A 23,767-nucleotide genomic window follows, 5' to 3' on the forward strand; every position below is an offset into this window, starting at 1 on the left:
CAACAGGGCAGTGGTAGGGCGGTGGGGGCTGTGCATGCACATGTGCTCCAGTGGCACCAGGGTGGCAGTGGCAAGGTTTATAGGAAGAGGCTGCAGGTGAATGCACACCAGCAAAGTGGTGGGTGGAAGCTGTGAGAGGGTGCACACTGGTGAGGGCCCATCTGCAAAAGTTATCTGACAGTTATATTGGATCTACCAGCCAAAGAGTTATGGTGGTGGCTACAGGAAAGTATATCAGCTGGGCGTCTGAGGCTGTACTGCAAGTGGATGCAGCCAGACAGAGACCTTGGGAGAGGCTGGGCAGACAGAGGAGCACTCATCAGACTGGCTCCACCCTACAGTTAGATAGCCCTGTTCTGTCTAGATCTGACAGTTAAGAAAGGCCAAAACCACCTAGAGGAGTATGGCAAGCCTTGGGGGCTGGGCATCCCTGGCCATGTGCCACTGTGATCATTCTTGTTCCAAACCTTCTGGGTTCCATGCAGGCTGGATTCCTGTCTTTGCCAGCTCTCCAAACAGCTCTCCTTGTCAGTTCAAATGTCTATGGGGATCATGGGGTCTCCTGCACCTAGGATTCTTGAGGTCCCTGGTGAGAGCAGGCCACTCTATGCCTATTTAACTCATCCCTTCCCTGGGAGCCTCTCAGGGCCAGGAATGAGTCCTGGTGCTTGGCAACCCCATGCAGGGTTCCCAACTTCCTCCCCCCTTCAGCCCAGGATCTGCATTCTCCTTCCAACCACTTTCAATGCCTTCCTTCCGAAGTACTGTTCAGAATGTGCTGATTTTGACGGTGTGGTCTCTTGGTGGGAGAAGCTCTTCCTGAACCCTGTAGTCAGCTATCTTGGCTCCTCCCAAAACAACTATTTCAAGGCACCTGACAAGGACAGAAAGAAAAAAGAAACTGGAGAGAATTTGACTCTTGAAATACTAGAAACCGTAGTGGTTGAGAGTTACATTTATATGGCATTTCCTGTAAGTACACTCTCCACTGGGACAGCATAGGGCAGTTAGAACTCAAGTAGAAAGCTACCATCTTACTGATTTAAGATGTCACAGGACAGAGTCTGGGAAAGGACAGAATGAGCAAAAACTGAAGGTAAAAAAATCTCATAAAAGAGAAAACTACAGACTGGGGAGCCCTAAAGGTACACATGAATTTTTCTAAAATTGGGGAGATGCTGAAGAACCCAATAGAAACCAATACTCATAAGGAAAAAAAATAAAAATAAAAATCTGTGCTGTGATTTCAATTGCTGCCCATTTCATTTCAGGAACAACAGAGTTTAAAGTTTGAATCCTGCAAGTTAGATGGGTTTTGTAAACACATCAAACTGTCCACTGAAACTCCACCAAGGCCACACTATAGAATAAAAGACTATGTCCCAGGACTAAGAATTCTCTGTAAGAATAAAAACCGAATCAACCTGTTAAAAAGGCTACACAAACTCCTGGTTATTCATCAGTAATTTAACCACCTGCTGAAGTAAAACTCAACACTCTTCCAAGGAAAATAAAAGAATCCGAAACATCTCTTTCTTTTTCCATCTCTACCATTTCACCCAAACAAGAATCCAAAATACTTATAGTCTATTTTCTATGCTGTCAAGTATATAACCAAAACTTACTATCATATGAAGAAACAGGAAAATGTCACCCATAGTAAAAGAAAAATCAGTCAACAGAAACAAAACCCAGTTGTAGTCAGCAAATAAAGGGTGTAATGCAACTATCATAAATAGATTTTAAAAGAGGCTAGTCCTAATGGATGAATAGATAGGACATTTCAGGAATGGAAACTATTTTCAAAAAACAAATGAAAATTCAGGAACTAAAGTAAAAAAAAAGTTCACTGGATGGATTTTAAAATAGACTGGAGAGGGCAGAAAGAATTATTGTGATATATTTAAATTAAATGTTATAAAGTACCATTTAAAATATCAGAAGATATGAAATACTTGGGGACAAATTTAATAAAATATGTGCAAGATTTGTATCCACAATAAATGTAGAGATATATACCATGTTTTTAATCAGAAGACTCATCACTGTTAAAATGTCAGTTCAGCACAAATTGATCCATAGATCTAATCTAGTCCTAACCAAAATCTCAGTGGACTTTTTTGTAAAAATTAACAAGCTAATTCTAAAATTTCTATGAGGTTCAAGGCACCTAGAATAACCTAATAAAAATAATTTGTATTTCAATTACTATGAGGTACAGTAATTAGGACTATTGTGGCATTGGTGTAAGAATAGATATATAAATCAAAGATTCATATTCATGTAAGAGCACCTAAGTAGACCCATACATATATGGTCAACTGGTTTTCAACAAAGGTGAAAGAGTAATTCAAAAGAAAAAAACAGTTTATTCAATAAGTGGTACTGGAAAAACTAAACATCTAAATGCTTATAAATGGTACTGGAGCAATTAAATTTCTGTATTTCAAAAAAAATATGACCTCTAATTCACACAATTCATAAAAATTTATTCCCAGGTAGATTATAAAACAATAAAGCTTCCAGATAGTAACGTAAGAAAATATCTTCTTGACTTTGAAGTAGTTATGTTAACAAAGTTTTTTTTTAACAGAACATAAAAGTCTCTACCCATAAAGGAACAAAATAATAATTTGGAATTTATTTAAATTAAGAACTTCTGAATATTAAAAAATGGTTAATATTATGAAAGGGAGAAGATATTTGTAATACCTACAACTAACAAAAGGACTCATATCTAGAACATATAAAAAGTTATCACAGAAATACAAATTAAAACTACAATATAATACCACTACATACATTTGAATTAAAAACACTGACACTTGCCAACACCAAGTTCACCAAGTTCACAAGAATGTGGAGCAGTTGGAGCTCGTATTAGAAAATTCACTTTGGAAAGCTGTTTGGTAATATCTACTAAAGCTGGGCATATGTATACCTTATGACCCAGAAATTTCATTCCTAGGTATTAGTCCAAAAGAAAGTCTACATTAATGCACTGAAAGTAATACACAAATGTGTATATAATAGCAATGCTCATTAAAGAAAAAACCAGAAATAATTCAAATGTTCATCAGCAATAGAACAGATAGATAAATTATGGTTTATTATCAATGAATGAATGAACTACTACATGGTGAGCTCTCACAGACATACAACATTAAGCAAAAGAAATCAGACACAAAATACAACATACTGTATAGTCTCAGTATTTGAAGTTCAAAAAGAGGCAAAACTCACCTATGGTGTTAGAAGTCAGGATAGTGACAGAGTAGTAGCTGGTAGCGGGGACAAGGGGCCCTCTTAGGGTTCTAATAATATTCTATTTCTTGACGTGGGTGGAGGTTACATGAGTGTGTTCACTATGTGGATATGTATTGTTGTTAGAGATAATGTGTGCACTTTTCTGTATATATGTTATTCTTCAATAAACCATTTAAAACATTAAAAATAACCACTTGTGTGGCTTAGAACAGTTGTCCCCAACCATTTTGGCACCAGAAACCGGTTTCATGGAATATAATTTTTCCACAGATGGTGGATGGGGGGAATGGGGATGGTTTCAGGATGAAACCATTCCACTTCAAATCATCAGGCGTTAGAGTCTCATAAAGAGCACACAAACTAGGTCCTTCACATGCGCTGTTCACAATAGGGCTCACACTCCTATGAGAATCTAATGCCGCAGCTGATCTGTCAGGAGGTGGAGCTTAGGCAGTAATGCTCACTTGCCTGCCACTCACCTCCTGCTGTACGGCCTGGTTCCCAATAGGCCATGGACCAGTACCGGTCCACGACCCAGGGTTGGGGACCCCTGGCTTAGAAGCAATGTCTAGAGATTTTAGGGTAATAGAAACTATATAAAGGTAGTATATATGCTACAGGCAAAACATGTAATCTAGACATTATAAACAACTCTTACCTAATTCCTGGGTAACTGCTATACGAATATTCTAAAACTATTTAAAGAAAATGTCAAATTTAATACTTTGTCATTGTATTGGTAGTGTAGGAGTAAGCCATAAGATCATGAGTAACTATAAGTATTACTTACAATGTGAACCACCTCTGCTGAATCTCTACACTTCTACCCACATACTACACATACTACCTTTCCTTTCACCGTCTCTCCTTTATACTACCCCTGTTTCACCTTTCATGGGCAGGTTCTTTAGGTAACCAAAATACCCACATTATTTATCACTTCAAGTCTGTAAATAAAGCCACGGATAGCAATAAAACAGAATCTTGTAGTAAGGCTACATAAATTATAGTATGTCTTTATTGGAAGGAAAAGTTTTCTAAATTGGTCTCAAAATTCTTAAAAATAAGTCAATAAATATATAATAAAGCTATCTGTACTCTCAATATATTTTCACTTTTCCAAATACTTTAACCTTATTAGTTGTTCTTCATTAGTCCTTCACCTTATGCCACTGGACAAATACCTTTAAAAAAAAAAAAACTCAAAGCAGGAAACTACTTAAAATATGTTTCAAGTATTTTGTAGAGTTTATTGGATCAGAATCCATTCTTCTTATACTTCAACCCCACCACTGAGCTTAAAATTCCTTCCAAGCTTTTGGGAACAGTGCTTTCACTGTCACTATCCCTACTATCCATAGGATAATCATTGGCTGTTCCCCAAATTCCAGAACGATGTGCCATTGCATTGCTTTCCTCCCACACTGAAGTTGCTGGCGGTAGCTCATTTTGGCAGTTTGTCAAATAAATCACACAGTAAAGCATTTGGTGATCTTTAACCAAATGAATCTGTTGTGTATACAGCATATGACATGTAGAGGTATTTCACACATTATAATAGAACACAGTGAAGGATATACCCTGTACAGCATAATCCTAGAATCAAGACTTCTCTTTGAGAACTTCTCTTTAAAATAACATCTTTTTTTTGAACTAAAAAGATTAACTTACTTAAAAACAAAGGGAAATACCATCTCATGGCAATTATTGTTCCCTTCTGAGAATGACTGATGACGTACATACTTATTACCAGACAGTTTATGGAAACTATGTTGTCAAATAGATCACATTTTCCTACAGAAACAATGTCAGGATAGGGCTCATATCCCTTACCAAAGAATCAACAGAGAAACTATAATTATGAGAGTTAATTTTCCGTAAAAGCAAAGATAAGACTATTACAAAATTTTATAATATAAAGTGACAAAAGGATGCTTCAACTTTTTAATTTATTTAACAAACGTTTAACAGGTGTCTGTGATGTGTCAGGCATTGGTAATCAAATAACACTTGGTACCTGCCACGCTCAATAAATTAACTAACAGTCATGATTTACTAAACAAGTACATCAATGTTTACTGTATGGGGTGGTTAGTGTCATGAACGAGAGGTGCTCAGTCTGTAAGGACACAGAAGACAGTCATCTAAATCAGCATACGGGGTCAGTAAACACTTCCTGGAAAAGATGACCTGGGCTCAGCTTTGCTACATGAGCAAAAACTGGCTGAATTAGAAAAGCAATCCAAGTGACGGGAATAAGGTCATGTTTTGCATAACAACATTTTGGTCAACAACAGATGCGTACATGACGGTGGTCCCATAGGAATATAGTAGAGTCGAAAAACTCCTATTGCCTAGTGACCTCATAGCCATAGTAACATTGTAGTGCAACGCCTGTGGGTTTTGGTAACACTTCCAGAAGAAGGCATTGTTATCACAGGAGATGAAAATTCCCATGCGTGTTATTGCCCCTGAAGACCTTTCAGTGGGACAAGATATGAAAGTGGAAGGCAGTGATATTGATAGCCCTGATTCTGTGTAGGCCTAGGCTAATGTGTGTATTTGTGTCTTAGATTTTAGTAAAAAAAACTTTAAACCGTAAAAAAAAAAATAATTAAAAATGTAAAAAAGAAAAAAACTTATAGAATAAGGACATAAAAAAGAAAATATTGTGCAGCTGTACAATGTGTTTTAATCTAAGTATTACTACAAAAGAGTCAAAAAGTTAAAAATTTTTTAAGTTTATAAAGTTAAAAAGTTGCAGTAAGCTACGGTTAACTTATTATTGAAGAAGGAAAAATATTTTTAAATAAATTTAGGGTAGCCTAAGTGTACAGTATTTATAAAGTCTACAGTGATATACAGTAATGTCCTAGGCATTCATGATTCCCTGACTCACTGAGAGCAACTTCCAGTCCTGCAAGTTCCATTCATGGTATGTGCCCTACATAGGTGTACCATTTTTTAATTTTTTATACCATATTTTTACTGTGTCTTTTCTATGTTTAGATATACAAATACTTACCGCTATGTTATATTAATAATTGCTGGCAGCATTCAGTATAGTAACATGCTGTACGAGTTTGTAGCCTAGGATGCCTAGGTGTGTTGTAGACTATGCCATCTAAGTTTGTGTAAGTACACTCTATGATGTTCACACAATGACAAAATGGCATATGGATGCACTTCTCAGAACATGTCCCCATTGTTAAGTAAGGTATGACTGTAGCTGATAACACATGCACAGAGGCATAAAGCAACACGGAACATTCAAGAAACTGCGAGTTCCTGTTTGGAGGAACATATGAGGGAGGTGCATCACAGGAAAGAGGTGCAAGATAATGGTAGAAGCCAAATCATGAAATGCTTTGGGAGGTAGGTTTAAAAGTTTGAACTTTATTGAAAAAGATAGTCCCCCTGATCCTCCAACAGCTACTAAAAATGATTTTAAGCAGAGAAGTAAAATGAGCATATTTTCATTTTTAAAAGATCTATTTGATTTTACTATGGAGGAAGGCTAATGCAATAATCCTGAATTCATGAAGCAATGTTAGGAATAGAGTAGAAGGAACAGATCTGAGAGACAACAAGGAGAAAAAATTCATTGAACCTGACTGATAAAAGAATCTGTACACCAAACCCCCATGACGCCAATATGACAAACCTGCATATGTACCCTGAACCTAAAATAAAAGTTTTAGAAAAGTTTTTAAAAGTTCATTGAACTTAGACATTAATTGGAAGAGAGGGTGGAATGAAAGGAAGAGTCTAAACTGGCTTGGTGACTAAGATGATGATCAAGAACAAGGACAAAGAGAGGGTCTCAGTTGGTAGGGAGCAGGGAAAAACAACAAATATATTTCAAATTATTTTGCACATTATGTTTTCTATTTATTGTCTGAAGAATACCTATAAAATATAAATTGTATATAACATACATAACAAAGTGTAGCCATTTTGGAAAACAGTATGGAGGTTCCTAAAGAAATTAGAAATAGAACTACCATTAAGAGCCAGCAATCCCTCTTCTGGGTATAACACTGAAGTAAAGGAAATCACCACTTCATAAAGATGCCTGCACTCCCATATTCACTGTATCATTATTCACAATAGTCAAGATATGAAAACAACCTAAGCATCCATCAACAGATGAATCGATAAAGAAATTGGTCTATATATACAAAGGAAAAAAGGAGAACCTGTCATTTGCCACAACATGGATGAAAGTGAAGAACATCATGCTAAGTGGAATAAGCTAGACATAGAAAGAAAACTATTGCAGGATCTCACTTATATGTAGAATCTTTGTTTAAGAAAGTCATACAGAGACAGAGAATAAAACAGTATCTACCAGGGGCTGGGGGCAGGAGTGAGGAAATGGGTCAGTGCAAATCAAAGGATACAAAGTTGCAGTTATGAAGAATGAGCTCTAGAAATCTAGTACACAACATGAAGACTATAGTTAATAATGCTGTATTCAGGATTTTTACTAAAGGAGTAGATTTAGATGCTCTTGCTACACACACAAAAAAATGGGTAACTGTGAGATTATGAATATGTCAATTTACTTTATTACAGCAACCATTTTACTATTTATATGTATTTCATAACATCATGTTGTATACCTTAAATATACACAGTAAAATTTATTTTAAAAATAAATTCACATAAATACAAAAATTTTTTTTTTTGAGACGAAGTCTCGCTCTTGTCCCCCAGGCTGGAGTACAATGGTGTGATCTCGGCTCACTGCAACCTCTGCCTCCCAGGTTCAAGCGATTCTCCTGCTTCAGCCTCCCAAGTTTACAGGCGCCTGCCACCACACCCAGCTAATTTTTGTGTTTTTAGTAGAGATGGGGTTTCACCATGTTGGCCAGGCTGGTCTTGAACTCCTGACCTCAGGCAATCCACCTGCCTTGGCCTCCCAAAGTGCTGGGATTACAGGCATGGGCCACCGCACTCGGCCAAAAATTTTTTTTAAATCCCCTGTATCATACATGTGACATAAAGCTTATTGTTACTAGTATATTCATTTTAATTATTTAATTAGCAAAGGCTTCCTGATTTTCTTAAAGTTACGTTGGGGGATTGAGGGAGAAAAATATTTAAAAATCCCAAGTCTCTTTTACAAAGCTGAACAAGAAAATTTAACTTTCCTTTTCCTCCCAAAATAGATACTTGCAGAAAGCTGATATATACGAAATCATTCCACTAACCAAAGAATATTCAGCAATTATTTTAAACTGTCCTACAGTTGAGACCTATATTCATTAGAAAATTGCTGTATTATCATAAGTAAAGATCTCAAAAAGATGAAATATATGCTTTTATTATGTAATATTAACAAAGCAGCAACTTGGCTCATTCACAGTTTATGCAAAGCATTTTTTGAAAAGTTTAGGAAGTCTAAACCTCCAGAAATTTGCAAGGTTAAAAATGTACTTCTGAGATGGTCAGGTCTGAAACTTCTATTTCCCAGCTGTTTTCAAGGAACTTCATAATTTATTTATGTATAGACAAATAAATCTTCAGCTTCATTAGTCATTTCTCACTATATTCTAAGACCAAAAAAGGGTACTCTTCTCTTTGTTTATTATGGAAAAGCTATGGCAAGGCAGGGGAGGAAGAGGAATTGCCTGGGGGGACCGAGCAACTAAAAAGAAGAGCCTGGAGTGGGACTGAGCCTTGGAGCTGTCTAATGAGCCACTCTGCCTCCCACAGCTAGCTCCTCACAGCTCTGCAAAAGACTAAAAAACTGGAGCCAACAAAAACAAAACACTCACAAATCTAATTTGGGTGACTAACACCCTAAAGATATGCAGTTTGCTCCTGACCAGGATTGGAGTACTCACTTTCTTTGCGAACTTCCTCAAGTGAAGCCGTAAGCTCATCCTTTAAAACTGTAGCTTCCTGGGCAATCTTCTCTCCCTTGTCTAATAAATTCCAAGTTGCTTCCTCCACAGAAGCTAGAAGGACACTGGCTCTTTTCGAACGTCCTTTTTTCCTGCTGGAAGGGTTCTGGGGACAGTTTACAAGTGTGGTAACCTAAAATTGGAAAAATACAAAGTACTAAATTGACAAATTGTAAGGAGAACACAGTCCTGGGATATTACAGACCAGAACAAAAGACAGTACAGTTGACACTTGAGCAACTCAAGGGCTAGGGGCGCCAACCCACCGTGCAGTTGAAAATCTGAGTATAACTTTCAACTCCTCAAAAACATAACTACGAATAGCCTACTGTTGACCAGAAGCCTGATAACATAAATAGTCAATTAACACAGATTTTGTATCTGTATGTACTATATAACTATATTCCTACAATAAGATGAGCTAGAGAGACGATAGTGTTATTTGTTATTAAGAAAATCATAAGGCAGAGAAAACATAATTAAATAAATCAACAAGTAGAAATGGATCATCATAAAGGTCTTCATCCTCATCATATTCATATTCCTGAGGAAGATGAAGAAGAAGAGGAGGGTTGGTCTTGCTGCCTTGGGGGTGTAAGAGGCAGAAGAGATGGAGGAGGTGGAAGGGAAGGCAGGAGAGGCAGGCACACTTGATGTAACTTTTATTGAAAAAAAATCTGATTAAAAGTGAACCTGCATAGTTCAAACCAGTGTTGTTCAAAGGTCAACTGTATTTCATAGTAACATGACTCATTTCCAGTGCTGTTGGTACACCTACAAAAGTCAAGTCATGGCACCAAGAACAGCAACAGCAGCCACCGTGGAGTTCCCAACTAAAAATAGGAAGGAAGTGGGAGTCTTAGTGATTGAATTTCAAAATATAGACATTAAAATGTCCTCTCTTCAACTACCCCAGTCATCAAATCATTTCTATGTTAAATATTTACTGAACACCTATTTTTTACATTGTTCTGGATGATGGAAAAGAAATGCATTTCATGCTTTCATGGAGTTTACATTCTTAATATCGGCAGCATACAATAAACATATAAACAAATTTAAAAATGTAAGGTTCAGTAAATGTTTTGAGGAAAAATAAAGTTGGCGGAGGGAATACAGTGAGAGAGAGTGGGGATCGGGGTGGTCAGGAAAGGCCTCTTGACAGGGGACTTTGAGTGAGACCTGTTTGAGAGGCCAAATGAGTTAGGGGAAAGGGTAGAAGACAGATCTGAAAGGTTACAAAGGGCAAGAAAGTAGGTCATAGTAAGGATTTGGACTTTGTCCCCTGAAGCAACCACTGTTCTATATGATTCAGAATGTTTCTCCCTCTCCTAATATTAGTTATCTCTATTCTCAGCCTAAATAGACTAATACTGACTTAATTATAATTATTTTTGGCTCCCTCTTAATGTAGATTGCTGGCTTAAAAGTGGTATAAATTTTATTTTATAATTATTTGATATTTTGGAGATACATAATTTTCTACTCTCATTTTTGACTGTTTTATCAAAGTTCTGTATTTTTTATATGAAGTTTCTGTAATTAAAACAATACACACATACACAGCCTTCTAGAGCATTCTTCGAGTAGCAAAACTTGAACAAACTCCTCACCACAAGTATATGAAGTGAGAAATGTGTTAATTAGCTTGATTTAATCATTTTACAATGTATACATATATCAAAACATCACAGGGTACACCATAAATATATATAAATTTTATTCGCCAATTTTAATTTAATAAAGCTTGGGGAAAAAAAGAAAGAAATGAATCTTAACAAATACAAGAACAAACTCATAATAAGAACATTATTTGAAGATAAAAATTAAGCTTCTGTATTTGGAAACAAAAACATCATACTGAATTACATTATTAAAAAACACCCATTTCTGGCCAGGGGCAGTGGCTCATACCCATAATCCTAGCACTCTGGGAGGCCGAGGCGGGTGGATCACCTGAGGTCGGGAGTTCAAGACCAACCTGACCAACATGGACAAACCCCCTCTCTACTAAAAATACAAAATTAGCCGGGCATGGTGGCGCATGCCTATAATCCCAGCTACTCAGGAGGCTGAGGCAGGAGAATCGCTTGAACCCGGCAGGCAGAGGTTGCGGTGAGCCGAAATCACGCCATTGCACTCCAGCCTGGGCAACAAGGGCAAAACTCTATCTCAAAAAAAAAAAAAAAAAAAACAACCCATTTCTTAATTAAATCTTGGATCACAATTACAAGTTTTGGATTAAATTTTTATAAACAAAGCTTTAAAATCACCATCGTAGAGGAATGAGAGAAAGGAAAAAAACAACTTGTATCTAATATTTAAAATAGAAGACCTGAAACTCCTCTTGAAAGCTAATCTGCTGCATGTCATGAAACAGTGGAGGCTCATGATAATCATGCATCACATCTTTGACAGCAAACTACATAATGCTTCCTGCTCAGTAGTCCCTAGAGATTTTCGTTGTTGTTTGTTTATGGAGCATTCGATGTTTGTTTACTTGGATATCTGGACCCAGTTTTTATCCATGAACTAAAAAAAAAACTTAAGAAGTTATGGGGGAAATATGCGGATGAAAATCATTTTCATCTGCCCTCCTACCCTCCTCCCCTTACCCAATAGATCCTCTGTTTCATTCTAATTTGCTTTATTTCCATGTTCATCACCCAGAGTGGAATGTCTTGTGGCAGGCCTTTGTTTCCTCTCTTAGAAAATAAAAACAATCATTGTTATCCTACAAGACTGGGGAAGGTCAAATAAGGTAAAGTATTTTGGAAAATGCATAATATGACACAAATATTTGTTGGCATTTCATGTATATTTTCTAGTTTGTTCCCCATGTAGGTGCAGAAAATTGGTTATAGGAATCTTTAACAAAGGTATTCTCTCTGGATCTAAGTTTATCTTGCTCTTGGGGCCCCCCATGCTAAATGTGGCAGTTAGCAAAGCTCATTCTATATGCTTTACAAGCAGCTAAATAAGATCATGTGTCTTCATCATGGATTATATAAGAATAATAATAAGCCTGATTTATTACATGGGTTTTCACAAATTCCAAAAGGCAAATATCTCACTCTTGTCAGTCTAATTTATATATTGAGAGTTGAAAGGTATTTGTCCAGATTAAGACAAATTATAACTACCAGTTTAAAATCTTTGTTTAAAACAAAGAATAAGTATCATTGTCTGAAGTGTTCCCTCGGAATGTATTTTAAGTGCTGCAATTCATGATGCTTCCCACTGCACATTCCTCCTCTATTGTTCAGATCCTCCATGCGCCAAATGTTTTCCATAGAATAGCCTGGGCTTTGAAATTAAAATGAGCGTTCCAGAAATGCTTTGTTCCTTATAATAAATGCCAGAGAAGTAAGAAATGTGAAAAGAACTTTGTATAAGAACATCATGCTTCCATCAAAAAAGGCAATTGCAACTTGCAAGTTATTCACTTTTATAAGTTGTTTGTACCTACGTCTTCTTTTAAAATACTCCAATACAGTTATTTGATATTGATTAAACTAAAGTCAAGTGAGGTTTTCAATGATTCCTTTTATTTCAGAAAGTAAATATGGCTTGGCAATCCTGTGGAAAAAAAGAAAGCTGAAACTATTTTTTTTAACCCTAACTCACCTAAGAGATTTAACTTACTCCTATCAGTGACTGTGACTCACCATAGCAGATGATTCTCACCAAGGCGGAGGATAGGAGGGCGCTATTTGAAAAGGTCTCCCACCTCTTGAAGGAATACCAGCAACCAGTAAAATTAGCTTTCAAGTTATCCTGTAAAATAAATCCTGTGTCCTCATTTTCTTTTTCAGTACTAAATCAGTTATATTTCTGTAAGGAAGTTTAGTTGGAACAACTTGCAACAAAGATGATTCTAATGTAGGGTTTAAGCCCATGTCTTGCTAACTTTACCTTTTGCCATAGATACAAAACCCTCCCATTCCCCTCTTTCTCAGACTTCAGGGGTCCCTCTCATATAGAAAATCTCCAAGCTTGCAGCATTAGAGAGCTTGGGTTTGCTTACTTTCTTTAGTCTGTAAATCTGTGCTAGGCTATAAAGACACACCTTCATCGTAGATACAGGAAGGAACTTCCATGGGAATGGTGCTAAATTAAAAGTTTCAAGTAATTTATAAAGAAGAAATTCCCACTCTATTAATTCTGCAAGTTTAACATTCCACAAAACCGGACATATTTTCAATGGTGTGTAAAAATATTTATATATTAAAATTAAGAGTATAAAAAAGGTTTTTATAGATTTTCCAAATTTAGGTGTGCTTCTCTAAATGCTCTAAAGATGCTGAAAATTAAATTGATAAGCTTAATGAACCAAGCCATCAACTGTCATTATATAGAGCCACACTGGCACACAATATGAACACTGTAGAATATGTTGACTTTTTTTTTTTTTTGAGACGGAGTCTCACTCTGTCGCCCAGGCTGGAGTGCCGTGGCACGATCTCCGTTCACTGCAAGCTCCGCCTCCCAGGTTCACACCATTCGCCTGCCTCAGCCTCCCAAGTAGCTGGGACTACAGGCACCTGCCACCACGCCTGGCTAATTTTTTTTGTATTTTTTAGTAGAGACAGGGTTTCACCATGTTAGCCAGGATGGTCTCGATCTCCTGACCTCATGATCCGCCCGCCTCAGCCTCCCAAAGTGCTGGGATTACAGGCGTGAGCCACTGCGCCTGGCCGTGAAATGTCTTTTTTAATGCCAACTTGGGTAACACAATTATATTCTATAACCTTGTTCCTTCCCAATATAGTTCTGATTTTTTTTAATTCTACCCTCATTGTAGTATAAAAAGGCCCTGTTAACAGCCATCTCTTTTCTTGTTTATTAGCTAAAACACTTTGAATTTCAACCTTCCTCCAATAGCTCACAGGAGCCTTCAGGGCTACTTTTGCTCCCTTGAGTTAATTTTAATGTATGAAATAAAATATAAGACATTTAAGCTATGTTAATTAGCTAAAACTTCAACAGGGTTCTGAAAGAAATTAGAAGGGTAGAAAAATAAAACTGCCTATAGATAAGTAAAAACTGTGATCTTTCAAAGTAAAAGGTACAAACCAGTCTCGGGGAGGAGAGGGGGTGTCCCTTCTTCAAGTCATTGATAATTTCAACTATTCTTTTACTTCTACCAAAACAACCCTTACTGGATTAACAAAAGTACAGAGGAAGATTAAAGGGTTGAGAACCCAAAAAATGCCTCTAGATAACATTCAACACCCCCCCAAACCAACTTCAATCTTCTTTTAGTTCCTTTCAAGCCAATAAACACTTATATTTTGTTCAAAATAATACCCTAGGCATTCAGGAAATAAATATGAATAAGCTCCAATATGGCAATAAGAGAAATACACAACTAGTTGCAACATTAAAGGCAGAATGATAACTGTTTACACTTATATAAGTACAAAGAAAGTGCTGCCAAAATTGCAAACATTCACAAGGATTAAGTAGGACTTCCAAGAAGAGCCTTTAAGAACAGATAATTTTCTACCAGAAGAGATAAAAGGGAGGTATGTAAGCCAGGGAAAGAAAATTGTGTGCAAAGGGGCAGAGAAAAAAATTTATTTTGTCTGAAAATAGCAGATAGCCAAACTTAGCAAACTGTGGGGTAAACACAGGCAATAGGGTGAGAAGGCCAAGAAATAGGTTTCATCTTAAATAAAAAGTTATAAAAGTCAAAGAAAGAGTTAATATTTAATGTAATAGGTGATAGAAAATGAAAACACAGCATGCCCAAAGTAGAGAAGCCTTTGCCCATCAACCTGCCTCTCCACCATCTGTATTTTTTACCTCAGTGGCTAACACCTCTAACCTGAAGCAGAAACCCAGAGGTCATCTGGGCTAGTCTCTCTCTCATCTTCCTCTCCAAGTCCTTGTCATCCAAGACACAGAAACGGGGCATCATTCTCTGCCCCATTCACCAATCTATCATTATGAAAAGTGTGTGCAATGATTCTGCCCTCGTTGAATCTTTCATGAAGCGTCTTCTGAGAGGTCTCACTGCCTCTGCACCAGCCCTACATTCCCACTAGAGCCGTCTCTTGAAAATGTAAATCTCTCATATTTGCACTACCTGTAGGCTACCTGCTGCCTACAAGCAAAGTCCAAACTCTTTAGCGTAGCTTTTGAGGCAATTTTGATCTCACTGCTCACTAAATTTTCATTCTCATCTTCTATCTGTGGAATCTGACCACAAACTACTTGTTAGGCTCAGAACAGGAAATGTTCAGCAACCTCAACCTGGGGTGACTCCCTCCCCTCACAGCTCCTTGTTCGTAGCTCTTGTATCACTCATTATACTGTCTTGTAATTAGCTGTTCACATATTGCCTCCTCTGCTCTACCACGAACTCAATAAGGACAGGGGCCGTGCTTGACTCATCCTGAAAACACAGAGCCAGCGTACTGTGAAAAATAAACAAACAGTGGTTTACTGGATGAAAAAAAAAAAAGAATAAAACCCTACATTTTAGAAGCCTTTAAATCAAGAGTCACAATGTTCAGTGATTCATACGAGGTTACCAAAAGAATGGGTTGCTACAGCAAAATTAAAGTTTAGTGATAACACATAGCAGCTTTCATTAAAAGGAAGTCCTTAATGTGGGATTTTCTGCCATATCTCCTGTCTAGTTTAGTTGGGGTCTGATCAGTTCAATGTAATCTAGGATCAAGTATATTATATCCAGTCTTTTTTTGCCCCCCCCAACAAAGACACGTTACATAATTCATTTTCAAACTACAAATAAAAAGAGCTGGCACATCCTTTTTATTACTGATTTTTTCATTTTTTTCAATCCTTGTGTTAGTTTTCTAGGGCTGCCATAACAAAATACCACAGACTGGGTGGCTTAAGCCACGGTTCCCCAACCTTTTTGGTACCAGAGACCCATTTTATGGAAGACAACTTTTCCACAGACCCAGGGGTGGAGTGGGGGTAGACGTTTTTGTGCCCGGAGTTGGTTCCTTCTGGTGGGTTCGTGGTCTCGCTGACTTCAAGAATGGAGCCACAGACCTTTGCAGTGAGTGTTGCAGCTCTTAAAGATGGCATGGACCCAAAGAGTGAGCAGTAGCAAGATTTATTTTGAAGCGTGAAAGAACAACACTTCCACAGCAAGGAAGCGGACCCTACCAGGTTGCCACTGCTGGCTGGAGTGGCCAGCTTTTATTCCCTTATTTGTCCCCGCCCATGTCCTGCTGATTGGTCCATTTTACAGAGTGCTGATTGGTCCATTTTACAGAGCGCTGATTGGTGCATTTTACAAACCTCTAGCTAGCTGCAGAGCACTGATTGGTGCATTTTACAATCCCTTCGTAAGACAAAAAAGTTCTCCAAGTCCCCTACTTGACCCAGGAAGTCCAGCTGGCTTCACCTCTCAGTTTCAGGATGATTCAAGTGGATTACATTTATTGTGTACTTTATATTATTATTACATTGTAATATATATGAAATAACTATACAACTCACCATAATGTAGAATCAGTGGGAGCCTTGAGCTTGTTTTCCCACAACTAGACGGTCCCATCTGGGGGTGATGGGAGACAGTGGCAGATCATCAGGCATTAGATTCTCATAAGGAGTAGGCAACCTACGTCACAATAAGGTTCACTTTCCCATGAGAATCTAATGCCACTGCTGATCTGACAGGAGGCAGAGCTCAGGCAGTAATGCAAGCGATGGGGGTTGGCTGTAAATACAGATGAAGTTTCTTTTGCTCACCCACCCACTGCTCATCTCCTGCTGTGTGGCCCAGTTCCTAACAGGCCATGGACATGCACCAGTTGGGGTACTCAACTGGTACTGGCACTGGAGGCCTAGGGGTTGGGGACCCCTGGGTTAAACAACAGAAATTTATTTTCTTACAGTTCTGGAGGTCAGAAGTCCAAGACCAAGGTGTCAACAGGTTTGGTTTCTCCTGAGGCCTTGCTCCTTGGCTATCAGATGGCTGTCCTCTCTCTGTGTCCTCACATGTATGCACACAACAATGATGTCTTTCCCTGTACATCCTAATCTCTTCTGATAAGGACACCAGTCATATTGGATTAGGGCCCACCCAAATGACCCCATTTTAATTTAATTACTTCTATATCCAAAGGCCCTGTCTCCAACTACGGTCACATTCTGAGAAACTGGGGTTAGGGCTTCAATATGTGAATGTTGGGGTTGGAAATGGCACAATTCAATCCATAACAATCTTTACCACAAGTGATACAAAAAGTGTAAAATAACCATAACCTTTTTAAAAATATAATTTAGGGTTTTGTTTGTTTGTTAGATAAACAACCACTGCTAACATAAGCCATTACTCCGAACTATTGAGGGACAGTAACAAAGCACATGTAGATCCCTCTCCAATTCCACCAGCCCTCTGTGCCACACAGATGGCATAACAAAGCAAAGAGATTTACGTGTCAAACACATAAGCAGTTGTAGCTAAATATCCTAATCCAAGAAGTGCACTTACTCCTGGATAAATATAAAGCTAAACACAACTAGGAAAAGACCACATGCTGAGAATAATACCAAATTAGTTTCTTCTAGTTTTCACTTAACCACTTACCATCCAAAAACAAACGAGTTTGGACTTTACCATTCATTTATTCAACAAATATTGATGGTGCACCTACACTGTGCCAGAACATGGCAATGAGCCTCATTCTAAGAAGGTGGGGGAACAGAGAATAAACAAATACATAAGTAAATGTGTAACACAACGGCAGGTATTCTTTTTTTTTTTTTTTTTTTTTTTGAGACAGAGCCTCACTCCATCACCCAGGCTAGAGTGCAGTGGTGCTATCTTGGCTCACTGCAACCTCTGCCTCCTGGGTTCAAGCGATTCTCGTGCCTCAGCCTCCCAAGTAGCTGGCATTACAGGTGCCTGTCACCACGCCCAGCTAATTTTTGTGTTTTTAGTAGAGATGGGGTTTCACCCATGTTGGCCAGGCTGGTCTCAAACTCCTGACCTCAAGTGATCCACCTGCCTCGGCCTCTCAAAATGCTCAGATTACAGGCGTGAGCCACTGCACCTGGCCAATAGTAGGTATTGACAGATGCTATGAGGAAAGTGAAAAAGGGTAAGAAAATAAAGAGTGAAAGAGAAGAGCTAGTTTAGACTGCATATTAGGGAAAGCATCTCTGATTAAGTAAGAAGGATCCAAGGAAACAGAAGAATAAGACATTTAAATATCTGGAGGAAAACATCCCAAACAGAAGAAACAGGCGCAAAGGTTCCAAAACAAGAGCTTGACTGTTGTATTCCAGGAGCAATAGGAAGGCTGGTATGGAGGCACCAAATTGTGCAGGACTTGTAGATCACCACTAATGCTCTCAATTCTATTCTTATGACTGGAAGTTACTGAAGTGCTTGAAACAGGAAAGTAACATGATCTGACCCCAAATTTTAAAGCATCATTCTAAATGCTCTAGGCAAAACAGACTAGAGACAGCTCTATGCAAAACAGACTAGGCAAGGATGGGATGAGGAATAGAAGAAGGGAAAGCAGTTAGGAGTCCGTTGCTGTAGCCCAAGTGAAGACCACACTGGCTTCTTTGAGGAAGCAGTGGCGGAGTTAAGAAATGACAAAATTTTGGTATATTCTAAAGTGTCAACAAGGTTTGCTGACAGATTGAATATGGGTTATGAAAGCAATATGGCATCAAGGATGACTCTGGCATCTGGCCTGAGCAGCTGAGTAAATGGAGGTAATATTTACTAGTTGAGGAAAGTAAAGGGACATGAGTAGGAAGGGAAATCAAGAGTTGATGGATTACCATGGCATTAGCCATGTTAAATTTGCCTTTTAGAGTTTTTAAAGTGGAGACTAGTATACAATTCTGGAATTGAAAGAGGTAAAAGTTGGAGATATGTTTCGTATAGGTTACTTTTTCAATTTAATTGTTCACTTGTCAGTAGTTTTGCTGATCTTACCAAAATTGCAAAGACGTTTGGGGAAAAATTTTTTTTTAATCAGAGATTGAATGAGATCTCTTAAAAACGATGTATAACTGGAGAAGAAGTCACAGGACTGAGCTTTGAGAAACCCCAACAATTAGGTGTAGTATTTCTCAGGAAACCCAACCGTTAACATATTAATTCTAGGATATGTAGATTTTGTCATTTCGAACATTACTATTATTTAGAGGAAATGCCTGGTTTTTGAAACTAAATTTAATAGTTGTTTTTTAACTTTTATTTTAAGTTCAGAAGTACATGTGTAGGTTTGCTAAATAGGTAAACTCACGTCATGAAAAGTTGTTGTACAGATTATTTCATCACCCAGGTATGAAGCCTAGCACTCAATAGTTATTTTTCATGATTCTCTCCCTCCACCCTCTTATAGGACCCAGTGTCTGTTGTTCCCCTCTATGTGTCCATGTGTTCTCATCATTTAGCTTCTACTTATAAGTGAGCACACAAGTGGTATTTGGTTTTCTGTTCCTGCATTAGTTTGCTAAAGATAATGGCCTCCAGCTCCTTCCATGTTCCTGCAAAGGACATGATCTCATTTTTTTTTAATGACAGCATAGTTTTCCATGGTGTATATATGCCACATTTTCTTTATCCTGTCTACCACTGATGTATATTTAGGTTGATTCCATGACTTTGCTATTGTGAATTGTGCTGCAATGAACAGGCACGTGCATATGTCTTTATGGTAGAATGATTTATATTACTCTGGGTATATATCCAGTAATGGGATTACTGGGTCAAATGGTAGTTGTTTTTAGGTCTTTGAGGAACTGCCGCACTGTTTTCCACAATGGTTGAACTAACTTACATTCCCACCAACAGCGTATAAGCATTCCTTTTTCTCTGCGACCTCTCCAGCATCTGCTTTTTTTTTTTTTTTACTTTTTAATAATAGCTATTCTAACTGGTTTGAAATGTTATCTCATTGTGGTTTTGATTTGCATTTCTCTAATGATCAGTGATGTTGAGCTTTTTCTCATATGCTTGTTGGAAAAATGCCTGTTTTATACAGAACAAAAATTCAGACAAATTCAGTTTTAAAAATGTAATGTTAATCATATAGTCTCCTTTTCTACAAATAAATATTTCAAAAAATGAGAAGAAAAACTATAAAGATATTAAATTAAGCAAACTAAAGAGAAATTATATTCATGCTGTAATTTATTCCTAAATCAAACAACTAGTAATTCCAGTAAATCAATAATCCATAGTTTATAGGACAGTACTGATTCAAAGAAATGTTGAATAAGAAAAAGCAAAAAGTCAACCTTTTTCCATCAATAACCTTTGACTGCTTAAAGGAAGCAAAACAAAAAGTAAAAAATCCAATCATACCAAAGAAGACTCTAAAATAAATAAGTTGACTGCACATGTAATAGCTTAGATATGTTCACATAATCCCTTGGTCCGTCCAGCCCCGCATTCCACTTCCAGCAGTGACTGATGGTAGAATATGGTTATGACTCCTACTTACGTATTCCAGAATTGTTTGATAATCATTTACAACCCTATCAACCATAAATTGAATAAACTATGCCAATATTTTGTCATTTGTGTTTGCTTTACCAACATAAACTTAGAAAGTTTTATCTGCATTTCCCTCCCACTATCTGCTGCCGGATTCCCTTTTTCACATCTACCTTAGATGGTCAGATTTACTCTTTCTTGTTCTCTTCTAACACAAAACTCCATTTTATTGACGATATCCAGGAGAAAATATACATAGCTACTTGCTCATCATGATGAATATGAGAGATAATAAACATTAAGCAAAAAAGATCATCAAAGATAGTGATTAGATTTGCAGGGCTGAAGATTTTATAGCAACCAAAATATGATTTAAATATAGCTCATCAGCAAATTAAATACTTATATTCAGTTTAAGATTGATTAGGCTGTATCCACCTCATTTGTCAGAACTCTCTCTAAGTCAATAGTCATTTTGTCTCATTGTTTGGGGTAAAAATTAAATACCAGTCACCCATCTTGAATCTCATTGGCCAGCACTTGATCTTTAATGTCCCAAAGTCCCTTCTTTGATATTACCATAGTCTCTCAATTCTAAAATACTATCAACTACAACACAAACCACCAATGTAATCACTTCTCTTAAAAGTGTAAATATGGATATTTTGTCAATATTGAACCTTCCATAACCAAGGTGAAGCCAAGAGACTTATTGTCTAGGAATAAAGACAGCAGACAGAACAAAGATACCATTGATCATCTTTGAGTTTCAAAGCTGACTTTCTTAAGCTCTCAAGAAAGAAAATAATTGTGAAGCTGGAGGCATCATACTACATGACTTCAAAATTTACTATAAAGCTATATTAACCAAAACAGCATGGCACTGGCATAAAAACAGACATGTAAAGCAATGGAATAGAATAGAGAACCCAATACCAAATCCATACATTTACAGCCAACTGATTTTTGACAAAGGCACCAAGAACACTCACTGGAGAAAGGACAATTTCTTCAATAAATGGTGCTAGGAAAACTGGATATCCATACACAGAAGAGTGAAATGAGACCCCTATCTCTCACCATATTCAAAAATCAACTCAAATGGACTAAAGATTTAAATGTAAGACCAAAAATTATGAAACTAGTAGAAGAAAACACAGAAAGAGAAAATCATTTTCTAAATCCTTTTGGCTCTCATTTAGCAAAAGCTAGATCTGATAGACTAGATCACAGTTTTATGATAAAGAAGATCTGGTCAGACAGGAAAAAGAAGTGTGGACTATTGGAAGAAAGGTCTCAGAAACAGGTTAGACACATTTTATTTCTCTTCTCTGGGCTTCACCCAGATTAAAAGCTGTAATGGCTCTCAACTAACACAGTTAGTTGGGAAACACAGAAAGCCGAGGAATTTTTATTCCATTTATCTTCAAGACTTTGAAAGAAAATTGTTTTATGAGCTCCCCTGCACAAAACTTCAGGGGTAGCTACAGTGTAATCTTGCCATCACAATCTTGAAGCTCAATAATACATAACAATGTAAATGGGTAGAGAGAAGGTCAGCTTAGCTTTCTTAAATCAGTCTTGATTCCCATGAGGCTTAGATGAAACCCAGAACATCCTAGATACCATGAAAAACAATCAAAATGAGGCTATGTTGAAAAGCAGTGGGCCTGCCCTGAGTTCACCATGGTGAAGAGCCAAGTGATCTAGCAGAGTCTGAGGGTACACAGATAATGCCAGATACTGGATGGAGGATGTAGCTGGGACTTCGAATCTGAAGCACCATCAAGGGCCAAAGTGGGGTTAAAGCATCCTGGAGAAACCACAGACCCTAGCCAAGCTACAAAAGAACGCCCCACAAAGCATATAAGGACATCAAGAAATGCACAGAGGTGCCCACAAGATGACCATGCATGGGACCCATCACTCCCTCAAAGGTCACAGTCCAGAGAGCATTCCAGACCAGCCACTCGGCAGGCACTAAGTGTCCAAAGGTCACCACATGGGTCCAAAGGCCGCATCTCCCACCGTGAAATCATATAAGCAACACCCTCAACCCAATCTCCTGTTTTAGAGCATTTTATCTAAAAAGACTGAGCATTTACCAAAAGGGACTGTTTATATTGTTGAATCACATCAGTTTACCATCTTATTGGCTTAAACAGAAGGCATTTATTCCAATTCCCAGTAGGTAGGAGTTTATGAGGAAGGTCAGATCACTTACGAAAGATAAACTAAAGTGTGCTGTGGGAAAACTTGTAATCCCCTACAAGTACAAAAAGGAAAGCTACATTAAATGTTTATTTCCATTATACGATGCATCCTAATTTCAGAAATGGTAAAAAATGTGAGGTGGACAATGTGGGAAAATGTGTTTAAATTAACGAAATATGGTATCTTGCAAATCAAGATTGCGAATGCAAACTGTTTCCTAAAAGAAAAAACTCATCTGAAAAACCACATTTATTAAGCCTTAATTTATTTAATTTGTAGAGCTTTCACTACTGTACATATATATGTGTATATATATGTATATGTGTGTGTGTGTGTGTGTGTATATATATATATATATATATATATATACAGAAATGTGGATATCTATGTATTCAAATTCAGCTACAATGAGGTTAAAAAGGCATAGAAGGGGCACCATTTTATGGCAAGCTTTGGACCAAGAGGCAGAACCATGCTCACTACTGGCTGATATCATGGCCAGCATAACAGTTCTGACATGGTAATCACCTGGGAGCTTTAAAAATTATTGTCTAGTCCTACTTCCAGAGATTCTGATTTAACTGGTTTTGTGTAAGGCCTGGGCATCAGGACTTTTAAGAGCTCCCCAGGCAATTTTATTGTGCAGCCAGGGTTGAAAACCACTGGGCTAACAGAATCTCAACAATAACAGGGATTTTCTGAATTGCCTACTTAGTACTCTTCCTCCAAGTAAGCCTTCTGTATCTCCCATAGGGCTTGGCCACAAACCACTCCATCATACTTTATCTCACTGGGGGCTCTCAATTGTGTGTGAGATAATGCCCATTTCTTACCCTTCCTTAACCAGGGAGTGCAGAGTAGCTCCATGAGAAAATGGTCAGTCTAGGCCAGGCGCAGTGGCTCACGCCTGTAATCCCAGCAC

The 23,767-nt window shown here is 37.7% G+C and overlaps 1 protein-coding gene across 7 annotated transcripts in view; it reads right to left on the minus strand.

Annotated features, from left to right (window-relative positions):
• CTNNA3 (catenin alpha 3) overlaps nucleotides 1-23,767 on the minus strand; it is a 1,851,072-nt gene that overhangs the window by 1,685,215 nt on the left and 142,090 nt on the right. For all 7 annotated transcript variants that reach the window (XM_047425124.1, NM_013266.4, XM_017016152.2 and 4 more), the window contains one exon: nucleotides 9,120-9,312. In XM_047425124.1, the coding sequence (XP_047281080.1) occupies nucleotides 9,120-9,312 (193 nt within the window). The remainder of the gene's footprint in view (nucleotides 1-9,119; nucleotides 9,313-23,767) is intronic.

The sequence above is a fragment of the Homo sapiens genome, chromosome 10 (assembly GCF_000001405.40).
Source record: "Homo sapiens chromosome 10, GRCh38.p14 Primary Assembly".
Classification (NCBI taxonomy): Eukaryota; Metazoa; Chordata; class Mammalia; order Primates; family Hominidae; genus Homo; species Homo sapiens.